The sequence below is a fragment of the Homo sapiens genome, chromosome 11, assembly GCF_000001405.40.
Source record: "Homo sapiens chromosome 11, GRCh38.p14 Primary Assembly".
NCBI lineage: Eukaryota > Metazoa > Chordata > Mammalia > Primates > Hominidae > Homo > Homo sapiens.
The window spans coordinates 36,292,777-36,305,471 of NC_000011.10; the positions used below are offsets into that span (position 1 = coordinate 36,292,777).

General features: G+C 44.4%; 1 protein-coding gene across 1 annotated transcript in view; it reads left to right on the forward strand.

Annotated features, from left to right (window-relative positions):
- Positions 1-3,511: 3,511 nt before the first annotated feature.
- Positions 3,512-12,695, forward strand: part of PRR5L (proline rich 5 like) — a 168,917-nt gene continuing 159,733 nt past the window's right edge. The window contains exon 1 of the mRNA NM_001160167.2: positions 3,512-3,662. The gene's annotated coding sequence lies outside the window, so the exon portion shown is untranslated. The remainder of the gene's footprint in view (positions 3,663-12,695) is intronic.

Consider the following 12,695-nt stretch of genomic DNA (forward strand, 5'->3'; position numbering starts at 1 on the left):
GGGGCAGATATGAAGCAAGGGATATGGACACAGAATTTATTAGTAGAAAATGATTAAGGGCAGCAATCTTAGTATTGAGGGTTTTTTTATAGTAGCTTTATTGAAATAGAATTAACATTCACATACCATACAATTTATCCATTTGAAGTGTAAAATTCGATGAATTTTAGTATACTCACAGAGTTGTCCAACTATCACCACAATTAATTTTAGAACATGTTCATCATCCCCAAAAGAAACAGCATATCCTTTAGCTATCAACACCCACCTCTGCCCCCAATTCTCCCCATCACACCCAGCCCTAGGCAATCGCTAATCTGCTTTCTGTCTCTATGGTTTTGCCTTCTGGACATTTCCCATGAATTGGATCATATGATACGGTTTCTCCTCTTATACTAAGTAAAGGAAACGAGTACAAAAGACCACATATCATATGTTTTGTACTCGTTTCCTCTACTTAGCATAAGAGGAGAAACTTCTTCAAGGTTCGTTCATGTTATAGCCTGTATCGGTACTTCATTCGTTTTTTGCTGAATAATATTTTTTTGTACAGATATACCATAGTTTGTTCATTCATCAGTTGTAGACATTTGAGTTGTTTCTACTTTTTAGCTGTTGTGAGTAATGCTGCCATGAGCAATCATGTACAAAGTTTTTGTGTGAACATGTGTTTCATTTCTCTTGGAGTATACACTGAAGAGTGGAATAGTGGAGTTTCTGGGCCATATGATTACTCTGTGTTTAACCTTTTGAGGAAGTGTAAGACCATTTTCCAAAGTGACTGCACCATTTTACAGTCCCCAGAAGCAATGTATAAGGGTTTCAATTTCTCCACATCTGCACCAACATTTGTTTAAAAAAAAAAAGAGACAGAGAGATGGGGGTCTCTGCTCTTTTACCCAGGCTGGAGTACAGTGGTGTAATCATGGCTCACTGTAGCCTCAAACTCCTGGGCTCAACTGATCTTCCCACTTCAGCCTCCTGAGTAGCTGGGACTACAAGCATGCACAACCATACCCAGCTAATTTGATTTTATTTGTTTTAGAGACAAAAAATATGTTTTGTCTCTAAAACATATGTTTGCTATGTTGCTCAGGCTGGTCTCAAACTCCTGGCCTCAAACGATCCTCCTGCCTCAGCCTTCTGAGTAGCTGGGATTACAGATGGGAGCCACTGCATCTGGCTCTGCCTTTTTGATTATAGTGATCCTAGTGGGTATGAAGTAGTATCTCATTGTGAGCCGTCTTGTTTTGAAGTTGCATTGGTATATCAAACACATTTTGTAACTGGTTCTGTCTTTTTGATTATAGCAATCTTAGCGGGTATGAAGTGGTATCTCATTGTGAGCAGTCTTGTTTTTAAGGTGCATTTGCATAGCAAACACATTTTGTCACTTACGCTACTTTGGTTCATTTGAGGTAACTGATGAAGGTTATGGAAGCTTAAATAAACTCCTATTCTCCCCTTTGGTTTCACTACTAAGTCCTGGCTGCCTTCTTTGTCAGAGGAATGCCTGCAGGAGGTGGATTAGGCCCAGGGTCCTGCAGTCCTTTAAGGAGAGCCCTTGCCACCCTCCTGTTATTCCCCTAGTTTCCCTTTTCCTCACCTTTGTCTCAGTCCAGAGATGAGGGTGGGTTGCAGGGGGAAAGGGCTGATCAATCTTTTTGACTTTATGCCCCCTTTGTGGCTTTGACGTGGCCTGATCAGCTCACCAGTCGTCTTAGTCCATATGGGCTAATATAACAAAATACCATAAACTGGGTGGCTTTATCAACAACAGAAATGTGTTGCTCATAGTTCTGGAGGCTGGGAAGTCCAAGACCAAGGCATTGGCAGATTCTATGTTTGATGAGGACGGTTTCCTGGTTCACAGATGGTGTCTTCTCACTGTGTCCTCAAATGGTGGCTGTGGGCAAGGGAGCTCTCTTGGGCCTCTTTATAAGGGCACTAATCCCATTCATGAGGGCTCCACACTCATGACCTAATCACCCCCCATAGGTCCCACCTCCAAATACCATCACCTGGGGGTGAAGATTTCAGCATATGAATTTGTGGGGGACGCATACACTCAGACCGTAGCGCAAGTTGGGGACAAAAGCTCTGAGTGTCAGCAGGGTTGCACTGGCTTGGAAATGCTGGAAATCTGGAAATTTCCAGATCAGGCATCACAAACTGCATGATCTAGGGCTCACATTGCATTAACAATGTTGTGTTTGGTCCACAGTGTTTCAAAATTGGAAAACTCGACATAAAAAATCCAGCCTTCTGGCTTTTCTTTAAAAATGTGCAGGCCCAACCATGCTGTTTCCACCTTTCTGCATTGCAGTATTTGGCTGAGGCTGAGCCCTGGCTGCCCTCTGAAGACTGGTGTGAGCTTTCAAATCCCCACAGTTCCCGCCACACACTGTTGCATCACAGTGGGCCCTCTCCACACATTTGTCACCTGTCTCATACTTGAGAATATTTATTAGTGCCCAATTCCTTCAGGGACCTAACAGGGTGAACTTAGGCCATAGTAGGTAACAGGGCTAAATACAGACACTTGGGATCCTGGCTTTCCAGCCATCCCCATACCATCTCCTCATGAGTACAAGCAAGTTTCAGGTGTAATGTGGGCATCTAATTTGTGATTTGTGGTTCTTGATCACTTTTATGGGCCAGCCACTGTTCTAAGAGTTTTGCATATATTAATTCATTTAATCCTCCTAGGAACCCAATCATAATCCCGGTTTACAGATGGGAAAACTAACACCCAGAGAAAACACTTGCTCACAGTCCATGGGTAATAGTTGCAGAGTCAGAATTTGAAGTCAGGAGCGAATGAGGTCATTTTGCAAGGTTGCTCATGACCTAGTGTCTGGTTCATTATGGGGGTTCAGTGGGTGCAAGCTTTATAATATTCATCTAGTCTTGCCAACTGCTGCTAACGTGCTGCATGGCTGAGGTTTAGTCCCAGCCAGATGTCCCATCACAAAAGTTAGGCATTGAAGTGGATGACATTTGTGTTTAGAGAAATGATATGTCTCATTCTTTTCAGCTCTAACTTGGGGTAAGTTTCTGAAAGCAAGTAAGAGAAAAGGAGAGGGACATTTGTGATCTCTCATGTATAGAAGACTAACAAAGAGGCAGGTGGTCACACCTGAAGGCACGTCCCCTGACCCTTATTACATAATGCCATGGGCTAAATGTCCAAAATTCCTCTCCCAGCTCTGATTGGCCTGGCTACTATGATGAGTGAAGTCCACCAGGGAAGACACTGTGGCCTCGTTTCTCATCCTCCTGTCCCCAGGAGTAACACAGAAGCAGCTAGTAACACAACAGCATTGTCCTCACATACACAGGCCTGCTTTGTTTCCCCACCACACAGAGCAGCCGCTGTAACAATGGCCCCGAATGACACTTTACCCTCCTTTCTCCAATGTTGCACTTGTTTTTTTAGTCTGGAATGGGCTAAACAATGATTTCCTGCAGGGGGTATCAGCTTTTTATATTTTCTGCCTGCTTCTCTGTCAGTCTTCAGGCCCCAGGTCAGTGAGTGGCAAGCCAGGCCCAGAGATCTCTGCGCCCGTTGGAACATCCCCTTCTCGGGAGGCTGGAAGGCCATGGTCATTCACCTCTCCCCAGCAAGGTGGGACCTGCCCTGGAAGAAGAAACCAGACCAGGTAACACAAGAGAGACAATGAGAGCTTGGGGCTAGGGGGTGGGGTTGCAGGGGATGGCTGAGTATCCAGCCCAAGGAGGATGGGTTTCTGGCTTCAAGACATCCGATTTTCTTGAAAGCCACCATCTGCTGTTAAATAAATAATGAAAAGCAACAGAGGTCAAGTTCAGCAGCCTCCCAGTTAGAAAAATACCCTCTGTCTGTCTGGCCCTGTTCAGTGCCTCTGATATCTCTGGGTGACCAGGGTCTTCATGGCCCATGTAGATTTACTGAGGTGGCTGTTGCCTTAATAATAGCTGCTAGTACTAAGCTCTTTCTCTATGTATTGCATATGTATACCTATTACTGTATGTCTCTCATTGAATGAATAGTAATGATAGCAAACCCTTATACAACATGCCTCAGATTCTTGCTTCTTTCAAACCCAGGGAGTCGGGTTCTAGAATCTGCGCTTTTCGTCATCATGCCCCTTGTAAAGCATTTTTTTTTACAACATCCTGCTAATAAACCAAGGTCATCACAATATTTCACTTTGAGAGGCAATGATATATGATGATAGCTATGTGTATTGTGAGTCCTTTGCCCTGTGCCAGGCAGCATTCTAACTGTTTTGCAGCTATTTCATCAGATAGATACTTTATGATCTCTATTTTATGGATGAGGAAATTGAAGTACGGATAATTTAAGTCATTCACCCGGGGTCACACAGTTGTTAAATGGCAGAGCCTGGATTTGAATTCAGTTTTCTCTTAAGTAGTATGGGAATCTTAGACCCGCCCAGCCCTGCTGGTCTGGAGTTATTCTGCTTCTCTAGGTCATGGTGTATAGAGGGTGACATTCAGTTTCTGGCTTCATAGAACATCTGCACCCAAGTTGACAGCTTAAGGAATTTTTTCGTTTGTTTATTTTAAATGATTTTTCTATTGGCATCAGCTTTTGTCTTGCTTGAAGAAGATGGAATTGCTCAATGACGACAGTGAAGGAATTTGAAAGGGTAAGAATTGCTCAATGAGTGGTATCTCTTTTTTGGCCAGAGACCAGGCTAAGTTGCCTCATATGTAAGAGAACATACGTCAAATACACAGGACTCATGGTATATTATGGAAGCAAACTTTATTTTTGCCTATCATTGTCCCTAATTTTTTTCAGCAGGTCCTCCCTCTTCCCTTGCCCTGGGATGAAAATTAAGGTAGGTCCACAACTCTTATGGGCCCCCTTCAGGAATCAAAAGTTCTTAAGTCGCTTTTAGTTCCAGCACAGCCTCATTCAGCAATTGGGATGTCCAGTCCCAGGGAATCAGCCAGATCTTTGAATTTGGTTCCCAGTGGAGACTTTTCTCCCTCCTCCAGTGGGGCCTGCAGCTTGGAAAGGGGGTCTGTGGTTGGCTTCTCATTTCCCACGTTAAGCTTCCATCCTTCTCTCCTCTGGCTTACTGATGATTCTGACTCCTGGCAGGGGGAAGGGGAAAAGAGAAGAGGCAGGAAAGGAGCTGGAAGTCCGTACTTGGTTAATGCTGTGGCAAGCTGGCATTTCAGTGGCAGGTTCTGGTGGGTGTGTAAACCTAGTTCTTTCTCTCTAGGCACAATCTTGTGGATACTTCAGAGAGCACCATTATTTCTCATCTTTGGGGATCTCTGAGTTGCTGGTCCCTTGAAGCTGGTTGCCTAATAAGACTCCTTCCTTAGTTCCCTGGCATCTAAGCAGTGCCGTATTAGTTTGCTGGGACTGCCATGACAAAATATCACAGACTGAGGGGCTTAAACCAGCAGTCCCCAATTTTTTTGGTACCAGAGACCAGTTTTGTAGATGACACTTTTTTCCACAGACCAGGGTAGGGATGGTTTCAGGATGATTCAAGTGCATTACATTTATTGAGAACCTTATTTATATTATTATTACATTGTAATATATAATGAAATAATTACACAATTCACCACAGTGTAGAATCAGTGGGAGCCCTAAACTTGTTTTCCTCCAATTAGACAGTCCCATATGGGGGTGATGGGAACCAGTGACAGATCATCAGGCATTAGATTCTCATAAGGAGCATGCAAACTAGACCCCTCACATGCGCAGTTCACAATAGGGTTTGTGCTCCTATGAGAATCTAATGCTGCTGCTGATCTGACAGGAGGTGGAGCTCAGGTGGTAATGTGAATGATTGGGAGCAGCTGTAAATATGGATGAAGCTTCGTGCTCTCTCTGTCCCTGCTGTGTGGCCTGGTTCCTAACAGACCACAGACCAGTACTGGTCCATGGCCCGGGAGTTGGGGGCCCCGGGCTTAAACAACAGAACTTAATTTTCTCCCAGTTCTGGAGGTTAAAAGTCCAAGATCAAGGTGTTGGAAGGTTTGTTTTCTCCTGAGGTCTCTGTCCTTGGCTTGTGGATGGCCACCTTCTCACTGAGTTCTCACATGGTCTTTCCTCTGTGTGTGCATTCCTGGTGTCTCTTGGCATGTGCAAATGTCCTCTTCTTATAAGGACAGCAGTCAGAGAGGATTAAGGCCTACCCTAAGGGGTTCATTTTAACTTAATCACATTTTTAAAGGTCCTGCTTCTAAATGCAGTCACATTCTAAGGTCCTGGGGGTTAGGGCTTCATCATATAAATTTTGGGAGGATAGTTGAGGCCACAACAAGTGCTGTCAGCTTTTCTCTGAAGGTAAATTTCCATTCCTCCTGGTGGTCCTTGTCAGAAGGACCTACACATCCCAGAGGTTGGCCACAGTACATCTCTGGCTTATGGAAAATGCTCGTTTCATTATCCCAGGAAATCCAAAGCTACCACGTTCTCTCCACTCCAGCTGATCACTCCATCTCTCTTGTATTTTGGGATTCACAGACATGATTCAGACATCAGCCCTCAGTGACAGTCAACCTCCAGGGACACAGCATCTTGGAGGCCAATCTTGGAGGGTGGGTAGTGGGCAATTGGGACTTGGAGTGCTCCTATTGCTTTCTCCAAAATTCCTCCTCTACACCACCAACTGTTCTTCTCACCCAGCTTTCTTTGTGGGCTGAAGATGGTCAGTTAAGAGGGAAACCAGTTTCGTGCCACTTCTTTTGTCAGCCCTGCATGATGGCCTCAGTGTCACAGCTCACTTTGAAACATGTCTTTTGTCCTTGGCAATACCTGAACTGAGACCATAGTCATTTTTACATCCTGCTACACAAATAGCATCTCATTTAGTTTTCATAAAGAACCCTAGGAGTTCTTCTGCATATGGAAGAGGAATCTGGAGCTCAGAAAGGTTAACGAATTCACCCAAAAGAGATTATTCAGCGAGTGGCGGGGAGGGGAGTAGAGATTCAAGCTTTAACCCACTTCATTATTTACTTCTCTGGGCCTTCATCATCCAGGCTTCTTAGAGCTTTTACCTACTGGAGTTTGGTCTGTGCTGCTAAAATGTTTTCTTCTTAGCAGAAAACTATAAAGGTAAACAACAACAACAACAACAACGACAAACACTTCATCGCTGCTTGCACCACTTGTGATGCAGGGGCTGGCAACAGGAGTGACAGGTGCATCAGGAGCTTTCTTAAGTATGTTGTGAGATGAGCTCTGTGTACCCAGGAAAGTCTTTGACTGCTTGAAAGTCCTCCATCCCTGCCCCACTATAATTTAATCAGCAGAATAATGAAGTACAAGTGAAATATCTTTTTTTTTTGTAGAAATGCATAAAAGCAATTCTGTTAGTCTGTTTTGTGTTGCTGTAAAGGAATACCTGAGACTGGGTAATTTTTAAAGAAAAGAGGTTTATTTGGCTCACGTTTCTGCAGGCTGTACAAGCATGGCACTTGCATCTGCTCAGCTTTTGGTGAGGCCTCAGGGAGTTTTACTCATGGCAGAAGGTGAGGGGGGAGCATGTCACACGGTGAGAAAGGGTGCAAGAGAGTGCCAGGCTCTTTTTAAATGACCAGCTTTCTTGTGAACTTACAGGGTAAGAACTCACTCCATTATCACCAGGGCAGCACCAAGTCATTCATGAAAGATCTGCCCCCGTGACCCAAACATGTCCCACTAGACCCCACCTCCAATGCTGGCAATCTCATTTCAACATGAGATTTAGAGGAGACAAACATTCAAACTATATCAGCAATATTGCATTCTGAGAATTTTATTCAAGGCAGAAGGGGCCATATCATCTCACCTTCTAGCTCCCAGGAGGTACTTAACCTAAAGATGACTTCCGAATATGAAGCTATTTAAAAGAAAAAAAAAATCCTCTTTTTTGTTTAGATTTTTAATTATTTTCTTTACAAATAAAGAAGCCCAAGCCTGTCATTGCCCATTCTTCCTTAGGAAAGGGAAAGCTACATATGGGCCTGGCAGTGGTTCAGAGGCTGCCTGCCAAGGCTGTGTCAGGTTCATCTGGCAGCCGTGCAGAGCTGGGCTGGGCTGGGCCGGGCTGAAGTTGGGGCCCAGGGCACAGGCCTGGGATGGGCTGGAGCTGCAGCTGTCTCCGTCCAGTGAGGAAGGGGAGGATGATATTTCTGTTCACCCACTCAGCAATTATTTAACAAACATTTATTGTGCCCAAGACTTTTGTGGGCTCTCTGCCAGGAAAGGGCAGGTCATTGAATGGGCCCTGGGAAAAATGATGTCTGAGCTTCTCTCCAGTTCTCAGAGAAAGGTAAAGCACTGGAAGCGGGCGATTCAGGGAGAGGGCATGGAGGCATGGAAAAGCATGGTGTGCTTGGAGATCTATGGATGGTTTTGAACTGCTCAAGCACAGGCCGGGGTCAAGGGAGGGCAGGGGTCAGAAGAGGGAGGAGGAAGAAGGTGGAGGAGCTTCCAAATTGGAACTTGGTAGGCAGGTTGGGCCCTGGGAGGGCCACAGAAGGGTCTGAAGCAGAGTTGTGACCAGAGTGGGTTTGTCTTTTAGAGGGAACTCTGAGGCAGGACGGGGACACACTTGAGCATCAGAGGCGTCAAGGCTCAGGGAGAGGGGTGAGGGAAGATGAAGGGCAGAACCGAAGCCCTGGCTGAGATCATGGGAATGGGGAGGGGTTAAGCTGGAGAGAGTGGCAGCCACCTGAGGGAGGGGTTGGTCTAGAATGTCTTTCAGGTTTCTGACTTGAACTACAGAAGGGATGCTATGCCATGATGGGTCAGTGTGTGTGTAGGGGGCCGAGGACCCTTCCCAGCTGGAGGAAGTGGGGCATGGGGGGTCGGGGTGTTGTCCTTTCTTTTAATAAACATACGGAGGGGCTGCCCTGAGCTGCGTGCTGGGAGAGGAGAGCAGAGGGGACACCTTCCATTCCTTACAGAGCCCTTGGGCCAATGAAAGAGCAATTCAAATGCAATGGAGCAGGAAGACCCTAAGAGAGAATTGGAAAATGACTGGGAAAATTTGAATGTAGACCAAGCATTCAGTGATATTAGAGAATTATTAATTTTTTAAGGTGTGATGAAATTATTGTGTTTTAGGTGGGAGAATACCCCCTCATCTTTTTTTCTTTTGGGGAGATGCAAGCTGGAATATTTAGGAGTGAAATATCATGATGTCTGTAATTTACTTGGAAACAAATAAATACAGAGGGAGAGAAGGAGAGACAGAAAGAGAATGTGCAAATATGGCAAAACGTTACCAATTGTTGGGAGTATATGGGAGTTTACTGTACTGTTATTGCACTGTGCTTTTGGCTTTTCTGTGTGAAATATTTTGTAGTAAAAACTGGAAAATACAAAGTAGCAAGCGCATTGATGGGAGGTAAGGGTACCACAGGAACACAATGAATGGCCTCTAATCAGAATTTGATGCATGAGGGATGCTTCTAAAGAAAACAGCATCTAAGACCTGAGGAAGAGTGATCCTTGAAGCGGGGATGGGGAAGAATTTTGGGGAGAATGTACTAGGCAGAGAGGGAACAGCCTGTGTGTAGGCCTGCTGGCCTGTCTTGCTAGAGGAACAAAAAGACATTTAACGTGAGTGTCAAATGTGAAGCAGAGTCACCAAGAGATGGGAAGAGAAAGGTAGGCAGGTCCTATAGAGTCTTATAAGTTTGGACTCTGTCCCAACCACAGCATAACTAGGGGGGCTTCATTTCAGAAAGATGCTGGCTCAGCTGGGTGCGGGGGCTCACACCTGTTATCCCAGCACTTTGGGAGGCCAAGGCAGGCAGATCACCTGAGCTCAGGAGTTCGAGACCAGCCTAGGCAACATGGCGAAAACCCATCTCTACTAAACATACAAAAAATTAGCTGGGCATGGTGGCGGGCACCTGTAATCCCAGCTACTCGGGAGGCTGAGGCACGAGAATCGCTTGAGCCTGGGAGGTGGAGCTTGCAGTTAGGTGGAGGTTGCAGTGCACTGCACTCTAGCCTGGGTGACGGAGCGAGACTCTGTCTCAAAATAAAAATAAAAATAAAAAAGAAAGATGCTGGCTCACGTGTGTGCAGTTGCTAGGATCTGGCAGCCCCTGTTTTAAGCACTTCATCTATATGAGTTCGCCTAATCCTCACCATGACTTTATCAAGGATGTGCAGATTAGCACCTCTATTTATGAGAGAAGCCAGCCAAGGCACAGAAGAGTGAAGTCACCTGCTCAAGGTCACATATCTGGAAGAGTCAGGATTCGAGCCCAGGCATCCTGGCTCCAGAGCCCACGCTGCCCTAATCGCAAGGCAACACTGCCTCTTGAGTTTAGTCTCTCTGTGTGGAGAAGGAAGTGGAGGGAAGCAGGACTCTTCCTCAAGACAGGAAGACAGCTTAGGAAGCAACCGTACACATCCAGACTCAAGGTGATGGTGACTTGAACTAAAACAATAACAGTGGTGATGGAGAGAAATAGATGTAATAGAAAGTTATTTTGGAGTGAAATCTATAGGACTTGGTACTTGAACAGTTGTGTCAGGGAAGTCAAAGACAATGCCCAATCCATACCCCACTGAACACCTAGCTCTGTGCCTTCTTGGCAGGAGAAAAGGGCTAGAGTAAGAGAATGTGGAGATACCTTGCTCATAAAAAAATCGAGAAGACATTATCAGAACCATAACATCCCCTTCAACTGTGAGGAGCAGACTGTTGTCCACCCAACCTACATATCTCTTTCCTGGCTTCCACTAATCCTCACTTTTGGTGCAACTTGCCATTTTCACTGTTTGAATTTTTTAATCTGCACCTGTTATAAAATAGAGATCATTCCTTTATCCTGACTTGACTGGAAAAACAGAGTCAAACCACAGCTCCTGGTCCCTTCCCTAATTGTCTCTCAACTCACTAACCTGCCATTAGCCTTGAGTGATGTGACGTATGCACCTGTCTGTGTTTCACAAGAAGCCCTTGATCCTTGGGCCTCTTCAGAGGGCTTAACTGGAATGAAAAATTAAACAAATATTGAAAAAACAATAGAACGAACAATACATGGTCATGTCCCTCTAATCCTTATTGATTTTTAAGATCTTCTCAGGCATGAAAACAAGATTCACTGCTAGCAACCCAACATTGGATTTCTGTTAACTGAAAGAGTGGCTTATTGATCAGGGTGGGATGTCCAGCAGGGCAGGAGCAGGCCTGTGTCTGCCCCACCAGCTAATCAACCCCAATTCAACCCTAAGAGGTGGAGCTCAGTTGGGTGAGAGCTGCACTCACTTGAAATGAGGGACACTGTGGCCCAGGAGGGTCCTCGCAGCATCCTCAGAAGAGACTGAGGCCATTCCTCAGTTATATACCAACTCTCTGGGGACCTCATCTTTTTCTTGCTAAAGGCCTCAAGAATTCCTCATTATTTTTTTCTGTGTCAAAAATAATATAACTACTACATGAATTCATGTGTAGAGGACATGGATCTGCAGAATAAAATGGGTTCATCTACATATGTTCCTGCCTTTCATTCCTCTGTCTCAAGGAATTGTTCATTTAACAACAGATTCAGCTGTTATTCTATGCTGTTTGAAGGTTGGCAATACAGCCATTCACCATATACCAAATGGCAAAAATCCCTGCTCTCATGGAGCTTTTATTTTAGGGGATATTGTGAACAGTTTGGTGAGGAGCCTTCCAATCCATATATGTATTAATACAAACAGGTTTGTGCTGTACATATGATTCTGTGGCTGGCTTTTTTCACTAACAACATGTCTTGGAGCTCATTCTGTGTCAGCATGAATGGTCCTTCCTCATTCTTTGATAGTTGCATAATGGTTCTCTGCAGGGATAAACCCCTGCTAGTAAACATACAGTTATAATTTTTGTTTTCACAAATAGTGTTGCAGCGAACTTCCTTCTGCATGTACTGTTGTACACACACAATTTTGGACACTTACTAAGCCATGATATATAAATTAATTACCCTCTCTGTGCCTCAGTTTCCTCATCTGTACATTGAAAGTCATGGTAATAATCTCCCTCTAGCCATCAGGGAAAAGCAAATGAAAACCATGATGAGACGCACTTTACACTCACTGGGATGGATATAATTTTTAAAAATAGATGACAAGTGTGGGAGAAGATGTGGAGAAATTGGAATCCTCATGTGCTGCTGGTGGGAATATAAAATGATGCAGCTGCTTTGCAAACAGTCTGTGCATTCCCCAAAAGGTTAACACAGAGTTACAATTTAACCCAGCAATTCCACTCATAGGTATATACTCAAGAGAAATAAAAACACATGTTGCCACAAAAATTCGTTTAGAAATGTTCATAGCAGCATTATTCATAATAGCCAAAAGGTGGAAACAACCCAACTGTTCATCAACTAATGAAGAGATAAATAAAATTTGGCATATTCACACACAGGAATATTATGTCACATTAAAAAGATATGAAGTACTGATACAGGATCCAACATGGATGACCTTTGAAACACTATGCTAAGTGCAAGAAGTCAGTCATAAAAAGCTACATATTATATGATTCCATTTATATGAAAGGTCCAGAATTGCCAAATGTATAATGACAGAAAGTAGATAAGTGGTTTTTAGGGGCTGGGGTTGAGTGGGAAGGGAGGAAATGGAGAGTGACTGTTAATGGGTATGAAGTTTCCTTTTTGGGGTGATAAAAGTGTTCTAAAATTTGCTGTGGTGATGGTTG